This window comes from Homo sapiens, chromosome 7, assembly GCF_000001405.40.
Source record: "Homo sapiens chromosome 7, GRCh38.p14 Primary Assembly".
NCBI lineage: Eukaryota > Metazoa > Chordata > Mammalia > Primates > Hominidae > Homo > Homo sapiens.
Genome location: NC_000007.14, coordinates 135,293,033 through 135,318,805, shown reverse-complemented (window position 1 = coordinate 135,318,805; position 25,773 = coordinate 135,293,033). Strand labels below are relative to the sequence as shown.

General features: G+C 44.9%; 1 long non-coding RNA gene and 1 pseudogene across 2 annotated transcripts in view, besides 1 other annotated feature; both read left to right on the top strand.

Moving 5' to 3' along the window:
- The first annotated feature begins 235 nt into the window (after positions 1–235).
- Positions 236–25,773, top strand: part of LOC107984123 (uncharacterized) — a 60,858-nt gene continuing 35,320 nt past the window's right edge. The window contains exons 1-5 of one of the 2 annotated variants that reach the window (XR_001745376.1): positions 236–307; positions 1,097–1,166; positions 2,893–3,028; positions 8,100–8,241; positions 11,496–11,652. This is a non-coding gene — a long non-coding RNA (uncharacterized LOC107984123). Of the gene's footprint in view, positions 308–1,072; positions 1,167–2,892; positions 3,029–8,099; positions 8,242–11,495; positions 11,653–25,773 lie in introns of those variants that run through there. The other variant, XR_007060540.1, reaches the window with a different exon arrangement.
- Positions 4,542–4,714: a silencer, noted in NCBI's record as "fragment chr7:134998844-134999016 (GRCh37/hg19 assembly coordinates)". NCBI's record gives its function as "represses an EF-1alpha promoter that drives an FKBP-Casp9 reporter gene in an ReSE screen in HepG2 liver carcinoma cells {active_cell/tissue: HepG2}" and the evidence as "EXISTENCE:reporter gene assay evidence [ECO:0000049][PMID:32094911]".
- SLC23A4P (solute carrier family 23 member 4, pseudogene) overlaps positions 5,245–25,773 on the top strand; it is a 36,345-nt pseudogene continuing 15,816 nt past the window's right edge.

Here is a 25,773-nt window from a genome sequence, read left to right as displayed (position 1 = left end):
TTGAGGTCCACAAGGAGTTTCCTCGTGGGCAAATTGCGAGTGAGGTATGCAGCGTTTTTATCTTTGCAGCTATCTTATTTAGGAAAAAATGGGAGGCAGGTTTGCCTGAGGCCAGCTTGACTTTGCCCTTGGCTTAGTGATTTGGGGTCCCAAGATTTATTTTCCTTCCACAATCTCATCGTCATGTTTTTCAGGGCTTCCTTTTGGACCAACTCCCGTTGACTTTATGTGGGTCCTGTCATGCACTTCGTGAACCTTGGGAGCCAGTGCCACCCTTTCCAGAACATTCTGCCACCATGAGGAGCTGGTATTTGCTTGCTTTGGACTTCATGAAGTGGGGTTTGATCAAGAGCTTTTGAGGACGGGCTTTCAAGTGTTCTGTGCAGAATAACAGCGAAACTACACCTTCCTGGACTTCTGTCTTTAGAAGGCAGATTATCAGGTGTTTCTGGGTCTTTGGGAAACAAGCATGAAGGATTAGAAGCATTTGTCTCTCAGGCTCTCACCTGAGCCTTGTGAGGCCTTTGCCCTACCCATAAGCCTTAGCAGCTGTGGCCAGGACAAGGCGTAATCTTCTTCCCTATTAATCATCTCATTAGGCATCTCAGGGGTCACGCTGTTCCAGCTATTTTGCAACGATTTCCATTCAGCTCAACCAGTCACAAGGAATCAGCTTAGAAAATGGAAAAGCCTCGATGTTCCAGCCAGAGCCTCACCCTCATCCCCCTCCTTTTCTGCCCCCTCGAACCTGGTTTCCAGAAAGTGCTCTTCTGCTACACCCTGATGGGCTGTCCTCCCCTTGGTTTCCTGAGTGCTGTGGGGGATCATTAACTCCTCTGCAGCTACCGAAACTTATGAAACATTTCCTGCAACCGAATGCACCTTGGTTCCCTGCAGGACAGGCTGGAGCGGGAGTCTGTTTTAGAGGAGCAGGCACGTAGGAGCTGGAGGCCCCTCCCTCCTGAGGGCTGCCTGGGTAGTCCCAGGACCCGCCCTTGGTGCAGAGTCCTGCCTAGAGAAATTAATCTCTGGCTCCTGAGGCAGCTTCACTTTTTTTTTTTTTTTTTTTTTGGTGTTCCCTGTCCTGCTTCCCCAGAGGAAGCCAGAAGAAGACCCCAGTTGCCATGAACTCCGCCGTCACTAGCCGTGAGCACTCCACTTACTCGGTAAGGCCCGGTGGGAGACAGAGGGAGAGAAAGATGGGGAGCAGGAAGAAGGGCTGCGGGGAGGTCCTACTGCCCTGACTCCTTCTTAGTGCTAAGGCCTAGCCTCATGCTTTAGATCAGGGTTCAGATGATGAGACCCATGCAGCACTCCCTCCCCACCTCCAGCGTTAGTGCCCCTTAGTGTCACCTGTGGTCACCATCACAACAGACACAGAATCCGCCCCGAATAAACGGTAAATTACAAAGGAGGGGGGAAGATTTAGAAGATTGGATTTCCTGGTAATCCCAGCAACTGATCCCGTTTGCGACACCCTAATGCACAGGGTGGATCTGTTGAATCTGAAGGCCTGTTTTCCAGGTTGCATTTCAGTTTCTCTTTTCAGAAGCTTTCTCTGAATGGAAGCAAAGTGTGAGAGAGAAAGAAGTCACTTTTATTGAGCAGCCAGTATGCCCTAAGCACTTTCTGAACTTTATTTTCTTCCAAACAAGCCAATGGAAACAGGCACTTCTGTTCCCATTTTACAGATGAGAGACCTGAGGCCCAGAGAAGTCAAGTCACAGTGACTCATCTGATGATCTGTCTAGCTGGGCCCTGAGCCCTGGCCCCACCACCCCCTCCAACTTGTTTTGGCCACTTGAACATAACAGGGTGGACCCGGGCGGGAAGACCCTCTGTTCTTGCCAATACCCACTGCATGGGCCAGTTCTGTAGCCCTAATCAGGCCCAGGCCAGATGTCTGGGGACAGGGACCACCCACGATCCAGGCTGGGCTCTCAGGCTTCCCTGGAGCATGGCTGCCGGCCCCTGCCTGCTGCTGGTCAGCCTTCCAGCAAAGAGCCACATGCATTCTCTTCTGAGAAAGTGTGGGAGGCACCAAAGAACTCACGTCACTCAGCGGAGGTGCCACTAGCTCTCGGGAGCCAAAAACAACCCCTAAACAGCAACGACACAAAAACTTGGGAAATGAGTTGAAGATTCCATTTTCTGGAGACAGTTGTGTGTTCCTACATTTCTGGCTTCCCTGAGGCAAACTTGAGAGTGGGGGTTCTGGGCACCTATCCCTCTCCTTCTCAGTGGCCTTTCTTCCTGCTGTTTTTCTCACAGCCTCAGAGCAGCACCCAGATGACGAAGTCACCATTCTGAGATGCTGCTGGTTTTGGGGAGCACGTTGCTCTGCTGGAACTGGGTTATAAACTGGGGGAAGGCACCTTCCCGACCCTGAAAGCTTATGGCCCAGCTAGGCAAAAGCAGGAAGAGGCGGCATCTGAAAAATATCTCTGATACAAGGCAGAAAATGGCACATGATGCACCAGAGATAAAGGCCACAGGCAGGTGGGGAATCAGGAAAGGTGACGGGGGAGGAATTTGAGCTCTTCCAAGGAGGCCGCGAGTACAAGAAGCAGGTGGTGGAGATGGAGGGGGGCCCAGGGTGACAAAAGGCACTGAGGCAGGACCATGGAAGCCACATTGGGAGAAACCTGGACAAACCCACTGGGGAGAGCCAGGTGAACGGGAGTGTTAGGAAACGAGCCTAGGTCAGGTGAGCCTTGGAGGCTGGAAAGAAGGAAAGGCTGTATTGGGTATAGATGGTGTCAGAGGGGGAAAGGCATTCACCTTCCCCCAAGAAATCCCCAGCCTTGTCATTACTGCTCTCTGCACATCAGTGCCGCCTCCTGCTCTGCTAGTCTGTTCCCGGGAGCTGGAGGACTGTCTCTGTATGCCCAGGGCCACACCAGATGACAGACCTCAACTCTACTTGTCCCTATGTGGAACCTTCCTCCTCTGGTGGACCTCAGACAAGCCTTGTAACCTCAGGGAGCCTCAATCTCCTCATCTGTCAGAGGGAAGCAATAAGATGATGGTGAGTCTTCGATGAGATGTTTTCTTTTTTTCCCCCTGAGACAGAGTCTCACTCTGTCTCCCAGGTTGGAGTGCAGTGGTGCAATCTTGGCTCACTGCAACCTCTGCCTCCTGGGTTCAAGCAATTCTCCTGCATCAGCCTCCCAAGTAGCTGAGATTACAGGCCGGCACCACCACTCCAGGCTAATTTTTGTATTTTTAGTAGAGATGGGGTTTCACCATGTTGGCCAGGCTGGTCTCGAGCTCCTGACCACAAATGATCCACCTGCCTTGGCCTCCCAAAGTGCTGCGATTACAGGCATGAGCCACTGCGCCTGGCCTAAACGAGATGTATTGGAAACTCTTTGTAAACTGTAAAGTGCTATAAAATTCCAAACCTCAATCAGGATGCCTCTTTTGATCAAGTCTTATGGTAAAATTACAATCCATGCATTGAGTTGACAGACTCCTCCAACCAGAAGAGGAGGTTATGGCTCATATTCTCATACCATTCTCAATGTCGGGAAGTGCTTCATGAAGAATTCATTCTTCCTCCAAAAAGGGGCTTGCAAGCTTTCTTCTGCTGCTTTGAGTCACACACACAGACTCCTCCCAGCAAGGGATTCTGTGGAATTAAAAAGTACTTCATACGCACACACACACATACACGTGTGTGTGTGTGTGTGTATATGTATGTATATATATATATATGTGTGTATATATTTGATTTTTTTTTTTTTTTTTTTTTGGTAGAGACAGGGTTTCCCTATGTTGCCTAGGCTGGTCTCGAATTCCTGGGCTCAAAAGATCCTCCCACCTCGGCCTTTCAAAGCACTGAAATTATAGACGTGAGCCACCGTGCCTGGCCTACCCATATTCTCATATGCTCTGAGATGAGGCATCTCCTGCTCGCAACTGAGAAACCCGGCTCTAAGCTATCTCCGGGCTGTTCCTTGTTTCTGTGAATGTCTTTAAGCCCTTCCTCACCGACACACAGGACTCTTAGCATCCTGTGTCCCTGCTGTTCATTTCTATGCCCCCCTCTTTGCCTAGATGACTTGAGGAAGTTTACAACAAAAGGTATATTTATAAACAATTAGGTGAACAATACAGAGATAAACAATCAAGCACACAGAAAGGAGAGGAAAATGAGTATGTTCAGAGAAGGGCTGGTATCACTGAGCTCAAAGTATTCTCCCAGGCTCTGAGCTTTCTACCAGTTCTGGCTGGTGGGCTTCTTGGTCACACTCTCTTCACACGGGAAGGACCAGCTGTTCTCAGGGAAGGCAAGGTGTCTCCCGGTTCTATGTTCTAATTTTTTTTCATGTGGACCCTCAGGTAGGATCCATTTCCCAGAAAACTGTTTTAAAGCAGATGCAGAAGTGGTTTCCACGACCTTCCGATGGTCCACACTGATATGGACAGACCTTAGATGATTCAGAGATCATCAGACTGAACAGTCTTTGACATTGGCTCCTGCTCTACTGGGGAAAAAAAGGCAAGTAGGTTAGGGCCCACATTTTTTCCCCGTCATGCTGTCTCCCTCGCCTTCACCTTCCTGAGAATTCCTAGAGGTCCTGGGAGAGGGTGCGATGTGAGCTTGCTGGCACGACACACACAGCTGGAGCGGCCACGGCCCTGTGAGCTCATTCACAAGTATGCGCAAGTGGATGGCACACATGTTGCATGTATGCTAGCCTGCGGGCATCCTTATGACCCCTCCAGATTCTAGAGGGGGAGACAGGCTGGGAGAGGCGACGTCAGGTGCTTGTGGTTGCTGAGCTGGGGGGTGACAGAATCACATTGGCCCAACTGCTGCTGCTTCTCTGTGACTTGCCTGTTCAGAATCCATCGGTCAATCACTCCATCTCCCTCTCCCCCTCCTCTTTCCTCAATCGTGAATTTTCTCACTGTTCCTTGTGGATTCCTACACACATTCACTGAAATCTCAGCATAAGCACTCAGGATCCAGAGCTCCCTCCAGTCTACCTTTGGCTCGGCTTTGACCACTTTAGGAAAAGCAGATTTCTTCCACGTGCATCCCGTGTTCCAAGCAGCCTCAATACATCCTTTTTTCCCTAGAAGTCTAAAGAGAGTAGGCATGATGTTTCAGATGAGTTCCAACCAGCTAAAGTTAGAGATTTATTTTTAAAAATCAGTTAGAAAGATTCTCCATAGTCATTGTTTGTATATTTGTTCATTCGTTTCATCAGTGCCAAGAGCACTATGTACTAGGGATGGAGATAGAGAAGTTACGGGACTATACAGTCTTTTGGGTAAGGAATCATAGGATTATGATATGAGTGTCTGGGGCTGTGGTAAACATGCTCATGATTCTGTAGGAGCCCCTGAGGAAGGACAGACCTTCTCTAGTCTGAGGCTGGCTGCGGTGGAGTCAGGGAGGGCTTCCTGGAGTAGATGAGCAGTCACTAAATAGATGAGCTGAAGCAAAACTCTTACATAGATGTTTTAGGACCTAGTGTTAACGAGATGAATGAGCAAATGCTGATTTGTAATGAGAACCAAATGATCCTGCAGAGCTGAACCAGGGCCAGGTCAGTAGACCCCATATCAGGATCCTGGACCTTAGCCCTGGGTTCTTCTTGGTGTGCAATGCCAGGCTTCCTCCATCCCTGCAACAGGGCTTTGCAGGAGTATACTGGGAAGGAATTAGGATGAGCATTTGCCAGTGCTCGGCCCCCATGGAGAGGGACTGGCTTCCTTTATCTCCACACAGGACAGGGTGCTACCCACTCCACTCACCTCCCCATCCTTTCCACCCAGCACCGTCCCAAAGTTAGGGCTTCCTTGAGGGGACCAATGCTCTCACAATAGTGGTTCTTAATGGGGGGCAGTTTGACCCCCAGGGGATATTTGACAATGTCTGGAGGCATTTTTGGTTGTCACATGTTGGGGGAGGGAGTGCTACTGGCATCTCATGGGTAAGGCCAGTATGCTGCTTAGCATAATATCATGCACAAGACAGCACCCATGCCACCAACCACACAACACAACAAAGAATCGTCCAGTCCAAAACATCAATAGTGCCGAGAGTCTGAGGAACTCTGCTTAGAATATAATGTTTCCTTAGCACAGTGATCTCCTGGAGACGGTAGGGGATGACTGCCCAGTTCTTCTGGTGGCTTGCTTGCCTCTTTCCACATCAAAGCTAGTGGTAACCCCCACCCCCATCTCATCTCCTGCTCCTGCTTCTGCAGAGCGGAGCTGCTAATCCATTTAGGTGCAGGAAGCACGGTGCCCAGGACCCATGAATATGTCCTCATTTCTTTTAAAATTGGAAGGAATATATGCACTTTAAGGTCAAAGAAAAGGATTTAATATATTAATATAGGCCAGGTGCAGTGGCTCACACCTGTAATTCCAGCACTTTGGGAGGCCGAGGCGGGCAGATCACCTGAGGTCAGGAGTTCGAGACCAGCCTGGCCAATATGGTGAAACCCCGTCTCTACTAAAAATACTACATATATATATATGTATATATACACACACATATATATACATATATATATTCATCTTTACACCAATGTAGTCCTCAAATATAATATAATATTTTATTTTATTTTTGAGACAAGGCCTTGCTCTGTTGCCCAGGCTGGAGTGGAGTACAGTGGCACAATCACGGCACATTGCAGCCTCAACTCCTGGGCTCAAGTGATCCTCCTACCTCAGCCTCCTGAGTAGCTGGGACTACTGGTGTGCACCACCACACTGGCTAATTTTTGTGTATTTTGTAGAGATGGGGTCTTGCCCTGGTCTCAAACTCCTGAGCTCAAGTGATCTGCCCTTCTCAGCCTCCCAAAGTGCTGGGATTACAGGAGTGAGCTATCATGCCCAGCTTCCAAATACAATTTTAAATGTATTTTCTATGGAGGAAGGGGCCCACAGAGTCCAAGTGCTTAGTGCCTGTGAGCATCATAACGTGGCCCTGCTCCGGAAGTTGTTCTCTGAGGCTGGGCTGATGTAAAGGACATGTAGGCAGGGAGCTGGGCATTGGAGTGGATGACCTCAACATTCTCTCTAGAACTGTCTCCATGGGAAGCCCGCACTATCCTCAGGCTGTGACATTGTAGAGACCTGCCTTCTGTGATCTGGCTGGTGCCTAGAACCCTGTGGAAGCACATCACATAGAGTGGCCTGATCTTCATATTGGTGGCCTTACTAGCTTCTGGCCACACCAGAGACAATGCTGTCATGTTCTTCTCACTCATGACCAGATGCTCAAATGTTGGCCTTAAGCACATGTGCAAAGCCCTTTGAACATATGGAAATATGGAAGCTCAGAGTAATTAGATCAGCTAATATTGATGGGGCAATTACACTGTGCCAGGCGCTAGGCTATGCGGTCATGCTCCAATTTGATTTTCTCATCCATCTATGAGGTACGTGCTATTGACATTTCTTTTATATAGCTCAGAAAACTGAGACAGAAATATAAGGAAGGGGCCCAGTTAGTAAGCTATCCCACCAATAAGTTGAAGGGAAGGTCTATAACTCAAAGTTAATTTTGGTTACGCCGAGAGGAATGCAAGTTGGCTATCATTCTGTATGCACAGTACTCATTTACAGTGTTACATTCATTCGTTCAGTCTACACTGAGCACAGGGGCTTCACTAGAAGCTGGGATGAGTGAGAAGAGTGAGAAACAATCCATGCATGCTAGAAACTGACATTCCAGCAGAAGGGATGGGTAAGGAAGCCGCCCATTATGATAAACATGTTGTGAGGAGGACTTTGGCAGTTGGAAACACTGGTCCGTGTGGGAAAACTACCCATTTTCTGATCTTGGAGTTGGCCCCATCTCCTCTCCCACAAAGCTGCTCCTCTGCCGAGGCATCGGGTAAGGTGCCCACTCCCCTCGTGTGGCCCCAGACTTCACACAGAGGCCCTGCTGCAGATCATAGCATAGGAAGCCACTGCTCTTTTGAGTCTGCGCCTAAAATCCCTAGCTGGCCAACAGTTGTCCCCATCCCACTGCCTCTTGCGTTTTGAAGGCCGTCTGCCTGGATGAAATCAGAAAGTCCACTTGATCCCTCTTGAAATGCCCAGACGTGTCCTTTTCTTGTTCCCAGCAGAGGAGTGATGTCGTGCTCAGCTCCCAACCTATGGCCAAGGCAGGAGGACAGATAGGCAGCCCGGGAGTCCCGCAGCAGCTGCCTGGCCTATGACATCTTGGACATCCTGCCATGTTATCTCTGTATCTTCTTGGGGATTCAGGTAATTCCTCCCGAAGAGGCTCTGCCTCAAAAACCACATCAACGTATAGTCAGGTCAAATGAAGTTGTTTTGTCTCCCACGTTGACCTCTCGCGGGAACTCAAAGCTCCTGCAGTCTCTTTCTCTCCAGGGGTGTGGGGAGGGGTGTGGAGGATTAGAGGAGGATTTTCCCTCGTACTGCATTGACTGGCCATATCCAAGACTGGCTGGCCCGTTTTTCTCCTAGGTGGGTTCACTGGGCTGGTTAAAGGTCCAGTTCTCTTGGAGGAGGTGAGAGGTGCCAGGCCAGTTCTCCTTCCTTAGAGCAAGCCCTGCGGATGATAACTTCTCTTCCAAGTTCAGCTTCCATGAAAATGCCTGGTGGCCAGGCAAGGTGGCTCATACCTGTAATCCTAGCACTTTGGGAGGCCAAGGCAGACAGTTCGCTTGAGGTCAGGAGTTTGAGACCAGCCTGGCCAACATGGTGAAAATACAAAAATTAGCTGGGCGTGGTGGCTTGCACCTGTAATCCCAGCTACTCAGGAGGCTGAAGTAGGAGAACTGCTTGAAGCTGGGAGGCAGAGGTTGCAGTGAGCCAAAATTGTGCCACTGCACTGCAGCCTGGGCAACAGAGTAAAACTGTCTCAAAACAACAACAACAACAACAAAAAGGCCAGGCACGGTGGCTCATGCCTGTAATCGCAGCACTTTGTGGGGCCGAGGCGGGTGGATTACTTCAGGTCAGGAGTTTGAGACCAGCCTGGCCAACATGGTGAAACCCCGTCTCTGCTAAAAATGCAAAAATTAGCTAGGCATGGTGGCAGGTGCCTGTAATCTCAGCTAGTCAGGAGGCTGAGGCAGGGGAATTGCTTGAAACCAGGTGGTGGAGGTTGCAGTGAGCCAAGATCTCGCCATTGCACTACAGCCTGGGTGACAGAATGATACTCTATCTCAAAAAAAAAAAAAAAAAAAAAAAGGAAGAAAGAAAAGAAAATGCCTGTACGATCAAGAGATTTATTTGCTAATGAGGGGAAGTTGGCCCTGTCTATAAGGGTGGTTATAGCCAGTGCTTCTGGGCAGGATATGAGATGGGCAATCTAACACTGGTGGATTCTTGGCCTGGAGAATATTATGGTCTGCACTGAATTAGTGGGTAGCAGATCCAAGAACATCTATGAGAGACCATGAAGGACTGTAGGAACAATGGCAAGGATTGTCAAAGTGCCCCTGCAACACGTAGGCACCTCTTCTCTGAAGCTCCCCTGCCCCCTTATCGTCTTTCCCAAGGGGTCAGCCAATTTTTAGATGACCACAATTTGTCTGTCCATCTCTTTCCTTCCTTCCATCCTTTCTTCTCCTTCCTTCCTTCCTTTCTTCCTTCCTTCCTCTTCCTTCTTCTTCCTTCCATCTCCTTCCCTCCCTCCTTCCCTATTCTCCCTTCCTCTCTCTTTCCTTCTCTTGTTTTCTTTCCCTTTTTTCCCTCTCTCTCCCTGTTTCTTCTCCTCTCCTCTCTTTTTCTCCCTTCCTCCTTTTCTTCCTTCCTTCCTCTCTTCCTTCTTTCCTTCCTTCTCTTCTTTCATTTTTTATCTTGACTGACCCAACAACTAACTTTTATAAACCAAGCCTACATCTGCTGCTTGATTTATGCTGTATTCTTAGGGGATGAGTTAGAGAGCCTATACTCTTGGGTAAACCTGCAGTGGGACATTGGCTGCTCCTGCAGATGCCAAACCAGAGTGATTCTACTAGCACTAGGAACATGAGACCCTGTGGAAATGCTGGCCTCAGGTATCAGAGAGCCGGTTGCATCGAAGTGAAGGAGAGAAGCAGGTGGCTTCACATGTCTGTTCTCAGAATGTTTGGCTCAGTGGCCAGATTCGTGTGGGGACTGGAGCCATATATTGGCCAGTTAGTGTGGCTCAGAACAAAACTGACAACAGCCCACAAATGTACCCCTAGACCCAGCCAACCTTTCAGCTCTGGGGCTAGAGTGTGTGAGACAGAGTCTGCATTAGTCTATTTTCACACTGCTATAAAGATACTACCTGAGGCTGATTAATTTATAAAACAAAGAAATTTAATTGACTTATAGTTCTTCGTGGCTAGGGAGGCCTCAGGAAACTTACAATCATGGCAGAAGGGAAAGCAGGCATGTCTTACATGGTGGCAGGCAAAACAGAGAAAGTGAAAAGCCCAGGGGAGACTCCCACTGATTGACTGATTGATTGAGTCTCATTCTGTGGCCCAGGCTGGAGTGCAGTGGCTCCATCTTGGCTCACTGCAACCTCTGCCTTCCAAGTTCAAGCAATTTTCCTGCCTCAGCCTCCTGAGTAGCTGGGATTACAGGTACCTGCCACCACACCTGGCTAATTTTTGCATTTTTAGTATAGATGGGGTTTCACCATGTTGGCCAGGCTGGTCTCAAACTCCTGACCTCAGGTGATCTGTCTGCCTCGACCTTCCAAAGTTCTGGGATTACAGGCATGAGCCACTGCGCTGGGATGGGAGACTTCCATTTATAAAACCATCCGATCTTGTGAGAACTCACTCACTATCACGAGAACAGTATGAGAGAAACTGCCCGCATGATCCAATCACCTCCCACGGGGTCCCTCCCTTGACACAAGAGGATTATGGGGATTACAGTTCAAGATGAGATTTGGGTGGGGACATAGCCAAACCATATCAGTGGCCCATTTCTGTGTTGACTGGTTGCCCCATATCTATCAGTCAATTGGTCAATCTGGCATTTATATTTAATTTACCTTCTTTATAGCTGAGGCTGCCTGCTGTGGGCTCAGCCCTACCCTGAGCTCTGGGTCTAACTCTGTCCTGTCCGGTGAAACTCCAGTAGCCTTTGGCCAATGGCTGCAAGCTCATGCTCAGGCCCTCCTTGTAGATGGTCTGCTCTCACAGTGGGCCTTGTTTAATAACGAGCCTCTTGCCTTGCTCTTGTTCTTAAGGCCCTGTCTTGGTTCCTGTTACCCCCTCCTATGCTTGCCTCCCTACCTTGGTTTCCTCCCCAGGATATGAGTTCCTGGAGCTGGGTGCCTGCTCCTGAGGCCAGTCCCTGTGGCTGGGTCCCTGCTTCTCACCATCAGGCCTTCCTCATTCCCCCTGCCTGCCTGGTCTTCGCTTGTTACTCATGGCCAGGTGACTCTCAGAGCAGTGGGAAAGGCACCCCTGTTAATGTTGGGCACTCTCTGGTTTGGGGAATGAGAGTGGAGCTGGAGGCCACAACATCACATGCCTGCTCCTCTCACTCTCTGCCCACAGCACTTCCTCACAGCCCTGGGGGGCCTCATGGCGGTGCCATTCATCCTGGCCAAGGACCTGTGCCTGCAGCAGGACCCCCTGACACAGAGCTACCTCATCAGCACCATTTTCTTTGCTCCAGCATCTGCATGCTCCTGCAAGTGTTTTTAGGGGTCAGGTAGGTAAAATTGTTCCCCATGGGTTCTGACTTTTACCTGCCAGGGTGCCAGCAAGGCTTTCTTGGCTTATGGCTGGAGAGATGGCTGGGAAGCTGGTGTGGAGTAAGGGAGGGCGCACAGGGTTAGGAGACAGAGCCTGGGTTCAAGTTTCAGCTCCATCACTTACTCTCCACATTGGCTAGGATCCTTGATGGGAAGTAACACAAATCCAGATCAGCTTAGGCAGAAATGTATGCTTTATTAACTGATAAGGTTAAAACAAGAGAAACGCAGGGGTGCATCCAAGCCGCAGGAACACGAACCAGGGACTCAAATGCTGCCGGGATCTTCTCTGTCTCTTGACTCTGCTCAAGCCTGCCCCTAATATTTGCAAGACCCTCGGTACAAGTACAAATGGAGACCCACATACTCTGTGTCTAAATATTGGTAAGTTATAAACCAAGCTGACAAACTCTGAAATAAAACATGTTCTCATCATTCTGCCTGGAAGGCCAGGTTTGAACTGAGAATCCTCTGCCTCGTTAGACCTCTGCTTTGGAGCCTGGCAACATGGCAAGGGCCAGTCCCCAGCCTGCAGCCTCCCACTTCTCTCTCCAAGCTTTACTCCAAATCACAAATGGTCTCACATATGTGGATGTGGACACCCCAACCTGCACATCCAACTTCTTTTCTCGCCCCCATGACAATGGACTCCCCAAATAGCTGCCCCCAAACAGCTGGCCCATGGCCATCCTTGGGGTGTGCGCACCTGCATCATTGCCTGCCCTCAGCAGGATGGACCTAGAGAAGACACACAAGCAGCCTCTGGAAGAGGCCCAGGGCCATTTGGGCACAGAATTTCGGGGACTCAAAGGGGAGAGGGACACAGACCTCAGGGGAGCACATCCCCTTGGCCCTGCAGACTCCTCCCTGAGAAGCTAGAGCAGACCCTCTAAGGCATTGGGCCAAGTGCAGGGGGCTCTCTTCTGGTTGGAGGACAGGACCATCTCTTCATTACTCTGCCAGTGCCTGTGCTTCCTACTTGCAGACAGGCTTCCTGCACATGTGCGTTAGTCAGGGTTCTCAGAGAAGCAGAGCCAATAGGATATATAGAGATATATGAAGAGGAGATTTATTTCAGGAATTGGCTCACACAATTATGGAGGCCAAAGTCCCATGATCTGCTACCTGCAAGCTGGAGAACCAGGAAAGCTGGTGGTTCAGGCTGAGTCCAAAGGCCTGGATGTGAGGTTGGGGTAGGAGGCCAGCATTATAAGTTTCAGTCTGAGTCTGAAGGCCTGAGAACCAGGAGTACCAGTGTCTGAGGGCAGGAGAAGACGGCTGTCCCAGCTCAAGAAGAGAGCAAGAGAATCCAGTCTTTCTCTGCCTTTCGTTCTATTTGGATCCCCAATGGATAGGATGACGCCCACTGCATTGGTGATCTTCTTTACTCACTCCACCAATTCAAATGATAATCTCTTCCAGAGACACCCTCACAGACACACCCTGCAATATGTTACCAGCCATCTGGGCAGCCCTTAGCCTGGTCAAGTTGAACCATAAATTCAACCATCACAACATGACTGCAGGCAGCACTCCTAGACATCCTCCCACTTACCACCCAAAAGCAAGTGAGGGCTGCTCTGGCTAGTCCCCCATTGTAAAATTCCAGGAGAGCTCCACTGCCCAGCCCTGGAGCTGCCTGGGCAACAAATATGGCAACTCCCATTCGGGAAGATTTCCCAATGAAGCAGAGTAGAGGAATTCTGCTCTGGGTAGACAAGACAGCAGACATTCACTGTGGTTTGGGACCTGTGAAATGCAGCTAATGAGTATATGTGCCTTTGCTCCCTTACAGTATCATTGAGATGCTCAATTGGTATAATCAGTGGAATCCCTTTTTTAAAATAAAAAAATCAAGTCCCTTGTGTTCATATGTAGGCTGCTAAAGTTAGCCCGAGTAAAATGGAGCTCTATTACTCTGGCCTGGACAAAATTGTGAAGCCAGGAAATGTGTCTTTGGAGACCATTCCTCCCTCATTTCCACACATCCTCTTTTTTCACACTCTCCACTACCATTCCCTACCCCATCATGATTCCCTAGAACCTCACACAGTGGCTTCTTTAGGTTACCACCTTCTTGGGAAATTTCTCTTTGTAGGTCCTCTTGATCTTTCTTATTCTCCTCCCTCCCTGCAAACCTATTAGTCCAGTGTTCCTTCCTTTATGTTTATTTAGCTTCCAGTCCAAGGAGAGAGTGAGTTTTGCACAACCTGAAGCTTAGATGGTTTTTGGTGTCCCCTTTAAGAAAAAGAACAGAAAATTACACATATAAAATTGTGCACAAAAGGGAATATTTGTCTAGATTTAAGAAAGTAATCACAACAAATTACAGGTGTTAAAAAACAGATAAATACTACAAATGTCACACATTTCAGAAAATAGCATGACATTTTTATTATTTAACCATCTGACAGTCACCTATAATACTTTCTCCCTCTACATTTTATGGTTTCATCTCTTCAATGACCTCATTTTGCAGAAAAAAGGAAAGATAACTCAGTCATTCCTCTAGGATGGGTTAGTCCAAGTTTATTTGTTATTACTGCTAGCTGGGATGCCTCATTACGACTTTCCATGCAGACTGTGGTACTGCTATAGATTTGTGCCTTACAAACACAGGAGTTCTGTGGACCTGATTCCTGTCAAAAAATGTTTAAGTGCATAGTGCATTCATAAGTTTATATGCTGCATTCCTATGTATATTCCTGATAGGAGAAAATGTCCATTTTTGCCTAGACATCAATAACAACCAAATCTCTGGCAATTTTGCATATCTGATGATTGTCAAGTTTTCCACAGATAGCTTCTGGCTCCATACATTTCAAACCTTGTTTGTCATCCACTATCTGCATACGTCAAGTGTCAGGTGCTAGAGGACATATTCGTATCCTAATGTGGCCTCTGGTCCTGCACCATTATGTCATGACATCGGGTGGACTGGCCCAGTGGGTGTTAGGAGAATTGCTGGAAACCGTGATTATACCAGGAAGGCTAGCAATAAATTCGTTATACATAGGTGGGTCAGTGGTCTGCAACCGCATTAATATATCCCACTACATTCTAACTAAATGTATCCTGACTTGACTCCCTATTAGCCAAATCCCGTGGCCTTTCAAACGCCATCTGAGCCATGGTTTAGAGTTAGGGAGCTCAAAGTGGACAGAGACAGCTGTTGAAGCCAATGGCAGCTGAAACCTTTTGCTTTTACAGATTTTACAAATGTGTATGGTTAGTGAACACATTGCTAGACTCCTATCTAGGCTTTGGAAGGAACTATGCAAGGGAGGGGCCCATCACTGTAATTCTACTTTCTACCTGATCTGCGCCAAGCCTGTGCTCCGCTCTGGGGTTGCAAAGGAAAATGGAAAACATTCCCCACAATGTGCTTCTGCCTGTCTTAAGAGAAAATGACTCGGCAGGAACAATGAATATGCAATTAGTCTTAATTATCTGATCAAAGCTACAAAAGTGTAGACTAAGGTTGGCTAGTTATTTCCAAAGTAGATGGAATCTAGGCAGCATCTGGAGGAAAATATTCATTCCTAGAATGGTCTTTTTGTCTAAATCAAATCAAAGTACTTCCCAAACTACTTCCTTTGCCAGTCATTTCCAGGAGACATGACAGTGCTTAGGCTCTCCCTGTGTTCTGTAGAGGATGGGAGGCCAGTTCCTCCCTCTTGGAAAAGTGACTTCCCTTCCCCCTCTTCCTTCTTTGTCACTATCTCTGTGAGCCAAGATGTCTTCCAAGGGTTCACTCTGGTCTGTCTCTCAGGCCCCTAAAATACAGACCCCTCCCTTCCATGATTAGCCTCACAATGTAAGACGTTGCAGTAGCAGTAGAGAGAGAGGCCTTGTTAACCCCCTGCGGAGATACTCAGGAGCCCCCACCCCAGCCCCTGCCCCATGAAGAATTATAAACACAGAGCTATTATGAATGGGGGAGCCCTTCACCCAAACCTGAGGTGATGTTAATTTTAATTATGGAAAAGCTTCAAGTTTGGAAACTAGAGGGCTGAATTCTAGCTCTGTGCTGTGGGAACTTGGATGAATCATAAACCCTCTCTAAGGCTCGAGTTTCTCATCTGCAAATTAAACAGGATGAACTAGATAGTATCGAAAAGTCCCTTCCATCTCTAATATTGTGGACACCTCTGATGTTGACAGAGAAGTCGACCAAGTGTCCTCCTTCCTTCCTTCCTTCCTTCCTTCCTTCCTTCCTTCCTCTCTCTCTTTTTTCTTTTTCTCTTTTTTTTTTTTTTTTTTTTGAGACAGAGTCTTGCTCTGTTGCCCAGGCTGTAGTGCAGTGGCACCATCTGGGCTCACTGCAACCTCTGCCCCCTGGATTCAAGCAATTCTCCTGCCTCAGCCTCCATAGTAGCTGGGATTATAGGTGCGTGCCACCATGCCCAGCTAATTTTTGTATTTTTGGTAGAGACAGGGTTTTGCCATTTTGGCCAGGCTGGTCTCAAACTCCTGACCTTAGGGGATCCACCCACCTTGGCCTCCTAAAGTGCTGGGATTACAGGCGTGAGCCACCGCGCCTGGCCAAGTGTCCTATTTCAACTGAATAATCAGGACTGAAAAGGCCTGTGGGGCTAGCCTTCTTGTAAGTTCTGTGAAAAGCACAAACTAATCAGAAGTTAGGGTTCAAGGAATTTATACCCTAATTAAACATGCAAAGAAAAGAGAGAAACACAATTCAGAAATAAAATCATGCTCATGTCTTTAGACTAAGGTGGGGGCAGAAATAAACTTGAGTTTGGTTTCACCCCTGCAAATGGGCTTCCCTCTCAGATCCTAATGAGTGACTACCTGAGACAGATAGGTTGTAAAACCTAACAGATAGCTTATGAACTAAAGGCCAAGTAAATTTGATTGTTGGTTAAGCAGTATTTAATGATGGACTTTTCTAGATTAGAAACAAGAATGCCAATCTTGCAATAAGACTTCAGAAGATCTTAGCACTTCCTACCATGTTAAATACTTAGAAGGGAAAAGTGAGAGGTAATAGCCACTGTTTTGGGCATAAGAGCTAACAGCTGCTTCATCCAGGGTGGGCAGCAGCTGTAATTCTCAACTGTGGATGGCTGCCTCCTTGGTATGGCTTTAGAGGTGTATCCCCTAAAGATCTTCCTTACTTATGTGCTCACTTCTGAAATTCACATAAAGGAATGCATCACCATTCATTTCAAAAGAAGACATCAAGTTTAAAAGGCAATCGCTAGAGGAAGAAAATATTGACTATGTGAAACTCCAGATTTTAACTAATCTCTGGAATTATTCATGATTTTTGCATAATTCTGGTAATTTCTTTTTCTGGAGTGATGCCAGGCGATATGTCTCCCTTTCTATTATCCTTGGAATATCTCAAATGTGGAGCAAGAACTCTTGCCACAAAGCGACTCCAATGTCTCATGCTTACTTGCATACAGTTTGGCTGCATCCAGCCCTGGCCTGGGTCCTTTTCATCTACCATCTTCCCTGCTGGCTGAGCCCTACCTTGCCCTAGCTCTGTACCTGCCTCTGGTTCTGCAGAAAGGTCATGCTCACCACCAGGGGTCTGTAGCCATGTTGCCCCTGCCCCTGTTGAAAGCTAGGTTACCAGATGCAACCCTGGGGCTCTGCCCAGAGGGGTCGGAGAGTAAGCTGGTGATCAGCCATATCAGAGAAGCTGGAGGGACTGATGTGTTTGGAGGAGTAAGCTGGGTTTCTGTTGGGTAGTCATCCACAAGGAAGGCATGGGAGGAGCCCTTCCACAATTTAGCAGGTCCTTCCCTGCTTGATGTAGGGAGCTCAGGGGAAAAAGGAACAAAGTTGGGTCCTGTGAGGCACCCAGAATTTCTCAAAACACAGTGACCCTTTTAAATTCAAGAATTAATCAGTCCCATTCCACATTCCAGAGGCTCTCCTCCCCTTCCTGACCTATTTCAAAGAAAAGTCCTTGTGACATCATTTTTTACCCATTCACTGGATGGGCTCCAAGAAGGGAACACAGAGGTGATGACACAGGAGAGGTTGGATTCCAGCAACTGGAGCTCCAGAGGCATCCATCCCCAGCTGGTGACATCTCTGCCATTTACTCACAAGTTGGTCAAACTTCACACATCTGTAAGAAATTAAAGAAAGAGGAGAGAAACACGAAGTGTGGGTTTACAGTTAACAGGGTCATTAAACAAACCTGAGAGGGGCTGCTGGCTGAGTTAGGTTAGAGCCCCACTCTTTTACAGACTAAGAGTTTTTAAGGATTCATTGTGCGGGAGTTTATCAGAGGCTTGGACTGCTTCTGTGTCTTTTTGTTGTGCTTATTTGGGAGGGAGAGTTGTGTGTCTGTTCCCATACATCTTTCTGCAGCTGCAGGCATATTCCCCAAGTCTGCTTTTAGCTTCCCTTTCTTAGTGCATCTGAAGTGAAAGGAATGTGATTATTAAGGCCCACTGTTTTACTGGGGCCCATTGTATGAGGGTGAAGTTTGACAGTTACCCGAGAGACTCCTTCTGTGTCTGAGCTGCCTTATCTGTGTTTTACTGTCTGCTTATAGTTAGAAGAGAAGTGATTTCCTTGAAATGCATGAGGCTAGAAAGGGAGCTGGAACTTAAAGTGGCTGTGTTTGTCTGAGATGAAGGTGCTCTTGCTCTGTCAACGTCCCAACCCTAAACCTGTTGGGGGCTTCAGTCTCTCCAAGTCCCTAGGTGCAGAGGGCATAGTGCCCACCTAGTGGGGACTTCATCTTGCTCCTTGTCCTCCCTACCTCTGGCAACATCTCCATTTATCTTCTCTCAGAGACCTCCTGTTCCCATTAGGAGAAACTACTTGGTATTTTTCCAAACCTTGAAAATTAAATTAGATAATGCACATAAAGTACTTTGCTCAGTGCCTGGCACAGAAAATTTATTTTTCACATTAAAAAAAGGATCATACTATATATACAATTTTATATCTTCTCCCTCTTTAAAATAATTTTTAAATTTCTTAATTGTGTAGAAAAAACTAGCTCCATCTTTTTAAAAGCATATATAATGCATTGTAAATATCTTTCTATTTCAATTAACACATTCCTGCAATAGCACTTTGTAAAACACTGGTCATTTAGTATTTCCTAGAATAAATATGTTTTGGTTTATTTAAGCATTTCTTATTAAAGGACACTTAAGTTACTTCAAGTTTTTCACTGTTATTACTGTGACCAGTGTAACACCTGATTATGAGAGACATACATTATGGATGTGCTGACATACACTTGTCTAGTGAAAAATCGAAAAAAGACTGGAAGAAATGTTAATTTTTTTTCTGGGTGATACATATCATATATGAAAGGTATTATAATTTATGTGTGCTGATAAAGTTTATCTAGTTACAGATCAAAAGAGGATTGGAACAAACTATTAATGGTTATTTCTGAGTTGTAGAATTATGGTAATTTAAATTTATTCTTTATATTTTCCTTGATTTCCTATTTGCTTTTCTTCAAAGTGCACGTGTTTTATAACTGGGAAAAATAAAAACTATTCAAAATGTTTTTTAGAATAGTATCAGGGCATATTTTGCGAGTTGCACCCTTTGAATCTGTGCCTAAGAGCGAAAGTCCAGGAGGCTGCTCATGACTGTCTTGGGAGGGGGGCCCAGAGCTGTGGATCAAGGCCCCAGCCTCGAGACAACTGCTGAGATTCTGTGACCTTTGTGATTTCACCGGCTTTTAATCTTTGCCTCGGCAGTCTGTTTCTTTGTGATGATCAGCATTAAAGCCATAACAACAAAAGGGGCAGGCATGCTTGGTTTGGGAGCATAACAGAACAGACAGCTGGAGCAAAGGCCCCAATCTGTTGCCAGTTTGGGGTGTCAGGGCACGCTCAGGGTAGCAGATAAGAAAGGTTTCCCCTCCCCACCAGAATCTTCCTCTCCTTTTCTTCTAGGCAGAGGCAAGCACTCGTACGTTTCTTAGTTGGTGATATAGATATTTTCCTCTGTATCTCTAAATAATACACTTCTATTACTGATTGATGTGCCAATACGAATGATGACAATTTCATGTTCTTTCACTACCCCTCACTCCCACCACATGCAAGCATACTTCCCATCCTCCTATCTTCCCACCATCCCAGCACAGATCAACATTCAGTGTTTACATTAGAATGACAATGATGCTCTTCAGAGCTGAATCATAAAGTTGTTTTCCTGCCCAACTTTTTGTTTTTCCTGGAGTTAATGTGTTTCTTGTTTTTGAGATACTTAATTTTCTGTCCACTTATTTCTAATTCAATTCTAAATGCTCTGCCTATTGTCTAAATATCTTCTTAAAATTTTTATTCATATTAGAAGAATGAACTTCATCTTCTCGATGAACTCTCTCCTGGAGCTCTCTGACTTACTGCAATCTAAAACAGTTGCTGTCTATTCTTGGTGCTCAGCTGTCAACCAGAGATGCCCCTTCACCCTTATCCTGGGAGTTCCCTTTATGTCGTTTCTCTGCTGAATCTTTTGTTCCCATGTCTTCCTCTTAAAAAAAATTTTTTTTGGTGAAACACATAATCCCTTAGCTCCCTGAGAGAGAATGTATGAGAGGTTAATTTTGTGAGACTTAGCATGTGTGAAAATGTCTTGATTCTCCTCTCATATTTGATTGGTAGCTTGGCTGGGTATAGAATTTTAGGTTGAAAATAATTTTCTTTCAGAAGTTTGAAAATCACAGCTCACTGCAGCCTCAACCTCCTAGGCCCAAGCCATCCTCCCACCTTAGCCTCCCAAGTAGCTGGGACTACAGGCATGTGCCAATACGCCTGGCTAATTTTTGCATTTTTTGTAGAGATAGGGTGAAATCTTGAACTCCTGGGCTCAAGTGATCTTCCCGTCTTGGCCTCCCACAGTGCTAGGATTATAGTCATGAGCCACTGTGCCTGGCCTGAAACTCCTGTTATTCACATGTTGAACTTCCTGGACTAGTTCTCTAATTTTCTTATTGTTTCTTTCCTACTTCCATCTCTTTGTGTTTTTGCTTTTTATGGTGGGAAGAAATCACATCAATTTTATCTTCTAACTCTTCTTCTGAATTAAGAGCTCTTTTTGTTCTCTGAATATTCCTCTTTATGCATCCTGTTCATGTTTTAGAAATGCACAATCTTCTCTTCTCTCTCAAAGACATAAACGAGACTGATTTTTTAAAGTTATCATCTCCTTGCAGAAGAAGTTACTTTCATCTGTCTCTGTTTGGGTCTCTGTTATTCATATTCCCTTTGTTGTTGGGGATCCTCGTATATCTGCATATATTTAAGAGTGGAGTCCTAAAAGGTTGACTGGAAGTTCTGAGCCTGAGAGTGGATCTTGTTCTCTTTGGGCTCACTGTAACATGATATGCAGGAATGACCCAAAACCAAATTGCAGAGAACACATTTCACAGTGTAATCTTTAAATGGCACCATGATCTAGCTGGAGAGGCCCAAATTTAGCCATCTTTATGCTCTTCCTGACATCTTGTCACATTCTCCAGAAAAGGATCTTCCAGTCTCTTGCCTAGAGGGCGAAGGCCTGGTTGGAAGTATTTTGGAAGCTGAGTGGGAAAGTGAGCTGGAGGTTTTAGTGTTCAGAATGCACACATTAAATTATACCCCAGTGTTCAGTATGGTATCCCTGCTTCCAAATCTACCTGTTTTTAAAATTTATTTATTTATTTTACTTTAAGTTCCAGGATACATGTGGAGAATGTGCAGGTTTGTTACATAGGTATACATGTGCCATGGTGGTTTGCTGCACCTATCAACCCGTCATCTAGGTTTTAAGCCCCGTATGAATTAGGTATTGTCCTAATGCTCTCCTTCCCTTTGCCCCCCACCCCCCAACAGGCCCCAGTGTGTGTCATTCCCCTCCCTGTGTCCACGTGTTCTCACTGTTCAACTCCCACTTATGAGTGAGAACATGTGGTGTTTGGTTTTCTGTTCCTGTGTTAGTTTCCTGAGGATGATGGCTTCCAGCTTCATCATGTCCCTGCAAAGGACATGATCTCATTCTTTTTTATGGCTGCATATAGTATTCCATAGTGTAGATGTCCCACATTTTCTTTATCCTGTCTATCATTGATGGGCATTTGGGTTAGTTCCAAGTCTTTGCTATTGTAAATAGTGCCACAATAAACATACATGTTCATGTGTCTTGATACTAATTATTTATACTCCTTTGGGTATACACCCAGTAATGGGATTGCTGGGTCAAATGGTATTTCTGGTTCTAGATCCTTGAGGAATCGCCACACTGTCTTCCACAATGGTTGAACTAATTTGCACTCCCACCAACAGTGTAAAAGCGTTTGTATTTCTCTATAGCCTTGCCAGCATCTATTGTTTCCTGATTTTTTAATAATCGTCATTCTGACTGGTGTGAGATGATTTCTCATTGTTGTTTTGATTTGCGTTTCTCTAATGATCAGTGATAAACTTTTTTTCATATGTCTCTTGGCTGCATAAATGTCTTCCTTTGAGAAGTGTCTGTTCATATCCTTTGACCGCTTTTTGATAGGGTTGTTTTTTTCTTGTAAATTTGTTTAAGTTCCTTGTAGATTATGGATATTAGACCTTTGTTAGATGGGTAGATTGCAAAAAGTTTCTCCCATTCGGTAGGTTGCCTTTCACTCTGATGCTGGTTTCTTTTGCTGTGCAGAAGCTCTTTAGTTTAATTAGATCCCATTTGTCAATTTTGGCTTCTGTTGCCATTGCTTTTGGTGTTTTAGTCATGAAGTCTTTGCCCATGCCTATGTCCTGAATGGTATTGCCTAGGCTTTCTTCTAGGGTTTTTATGGTTTTTGGTTTTACATTTAAGTCTTCAATCCATCTTGAGTTAATTTTTGTAAAAGGTGTAAGGAAGGGGTCCAGTTTCAGTTTTCTGCATATGGCTAGCCTGTTTTCCCAGCACCATTTATTAAACAGGGAATCCTTTCCCCATTACTTGTTTTTGTCAGATTTGTCAAAGATCAGATGGTTATAGATGTGTGGTGTTATTTCTGAGGTCTCTATTCTGTTCCATTGGTCTATATGTCTGTTTTGGTACCAGTACCATGCTGTTTACTGTAGCCCTGTAGTATAGCTTGAAGTCAGGTAGCGTGATACCTCCAGCTTTGTTCTTTTTGCTTAGGATTGTCTTGGCTATATGGGTTCTTTTTTGATTCCATATGAAATTTAAACTGTTTTTTTTTTTAATTCTGCAAAGAAAGTCAATGGTAGCTGAATGGGAATAGCACTGAAACTATAAATTACTTTGGGTAGTGTGGCCATTTTCATGATATTAATTCTTTCTATCCATGAACATGGAATGCTTTTCCATTTGTTTGTGTCCTCTCTTATTTCCTTGAGTAGTGGTTTGTAGTTCTCCTTGAAGTGGTCCTTCATAAGTTGTATTCTTAGGTATTTTATTCTCTTTGTAGCAATTGTGAATGGAAATTCATTTATGATTAGGCTCTCTGCTTATCTATCGTTGGTGTATAGGAATGATTGTGATTTTTGCACATTGATTTTGTATGCTGAGACTTTACTGAAGTTGCTTGTCAGCTTAAGGAGTTTTGGGGCTGAGACAATGGGGTTTTCTAAATATAGAATCATGTCATCTGCAAATAGAGACAATTTGACTTCCTCTCTTCCTATATGAATACACTTTATTTCTTTCTCTTGCCTGATTGCCCTGGCCAGAACTTCCAATACTGTGTTGAATAGGAGTGGTGGGAGAAGGCATCCTTGTCTTGTGCCAGTTTTCAAAGGGAATGCTTCCAGCTTTTGCCCATTCAGTATGATATTGGCTATGGATTTAATAGCTCTTATTATTTTGAGATATGTTCCATCAATAACTAGTTTATTGAGAGTTTTTAACATGAACCAAATCTACCTGTTTTCTTGTGGACCAGAGACCCTGTATTTTGCCTTTTCCAGAGGATAAACACCTAGTCTTCTGCCAAGAAGGGAGGACTGTCACCTGGCTGGTGCTTAAAGAGGACTTTGAACTTGTTTTAGCTTCACATATATCCCACTTTAAGAATCAATTCCTTGGAATGTGTGTTTTTCAGAATATTGCCATCTACCTATTGCTAGCATAAGATTCTGCTTCTCCACGGCTGTTTAATCAGTTACCAATCTATATCTGCTTTTCAACTTCCAAAATTTTACTGTGATTGTCTCCTGCTCCATTCTCTTAATCCTTGTGATTTATGCTTCTAAAATACATTTTAATGTCAGTTTATTGGATTTTTAAGAGGGAGTGAGAGTGCAATCTGACATTTTTATCCAGAAGTCAATGTTTTTCTTAGTTTACAAGGAATTCAATGCATGTAAAGAACATTAAAACTTTGTCCTTATTGTCATAAACATTTTTAGTGTCTCTTTCATTTTAATTAAGATATTTTTCTATGCCAAAGATTTTATGTTTCTATGGTAAAATTTATCACTTCTGCTCTTTCAAACTTAATCTAATTTTAGGCTTAGAAATTCTTCCTACATCTAATAAATAATAAATATTGCCTTATTAAAAAGTACTGTGTAGCTAATAAATAAGATAAAATCATCTTATTAAAAAGTATTGTGTTACTAAGATTTTTAAAATTTAAGCATTGAATTCACCTGGAATTTATTTAGGTATATGTTGTAAAGTTAGGTTTTAAATTTATTTTTTTCTCCCTAACAGCCAATTTCCTCCACATCATTTGTTGATTAAATTCATTCCTCATTGCGAATCATGATTTTATTCATCACATATTAAGTTCTTTTATACCCTGGGATTTATCTTTTTCTGGGCTGCTATTTTTTCCATTAATCTCTTTGTTATGTCTTCAATTAATACTGCACTGTTTTAAAATTAATAACTTTGTAGTGGACTTCATCTGGTTGGGTATGATTTTCCTCATTATCCTTTCCTTTAAAATTTTTCTAAATTATTTTCATTTTCTATTCTTCTACATTAATTTGAAATGAATTTTATTAGATAAAACAATCTCATTGGGATTTTGATTGAAATTGTATTACAATTATAAATTAACGTGATAATTGGCACCTTCATAATACTGAATTTTTCTTTCATAGAACATGGTATATGTCTCATTTATTCAAGTTACCATTTTGTCTTCTATTTGAATTTTGTAAAAAAAATTATCCTAAGTTAATCTAGAATGCAGCTGTATCCTCATTAATATTTTATAAGCATACCCAATAGTTTTCATTTGCTTCTTACAGAAAATTCTTCCCCTAAGTCTTCAGAGCAGGGAAACCTTTCCCTTCTTGTTGCAGGATTTTATACGGCCCTGAATCCTGCAGGGTTTTCCATTTATTTATCATTTAACCAGGAGGGATCTATCTAGTCAACGGTGCCTAACATGCAAGGTGACTAGAATGTCCTTCATCCCCCAGCCATCTGGCTGATGCCCTATTCCAACTGCTGGTATTTCAGTCTATGCTAAAGAGTCATTAAAAAAAAAAAAAAAGAGTCATTTGCAGTTCCTCTTTGGGCAGTGTGATTTTGTAAAGACCACTCACTTCCTTCATCATGAACAGTTTTGACCACTTTTATCCTCTCCACTCATTTATATTTCTTGTTAAGTGATTAAAAAATTCAGAGTTCTGGAATTCTCCTCGTTTCTTGTCTTACAAGCCAAGACTGTCATCTCTGAAAGAATGTAGCCTGGTGTGGACCCTGGACCACCTGCCTTAGCATCATCTGAAGTGCTAGTTAGAAACACACCTTTTCAACTAATCACAACCAGCTATATATTTCTTTGTTCCTTCTCTGCTCCCACTGCTTCACTTGACTACAAAATAAATGCAAAAAACAAAAACACAGCTTTTGGCTAGCTGTGGTGGCTCGTGCCTATAATTCTAGTACTTTGGGAGGCCAAGGTGGGAGGATCACTTGAGCCCAGGAGTTCAAGACCAGCCTGAGCAACATAGTGAGATCCCACCTCTACAAAAATAAAAGTAAAAAAAAAAAAAACAAACAAACCTGGGCATGGTGTTTTGCACCTGTAGTCCCAGCTAGTTGGGGGGCTGAGGCAGGAGGATTGCTTGAGCTCAGAAGGTCGAGGCTGTAGTGAGCTATATGAAGTACAGCAAGGCTGTACT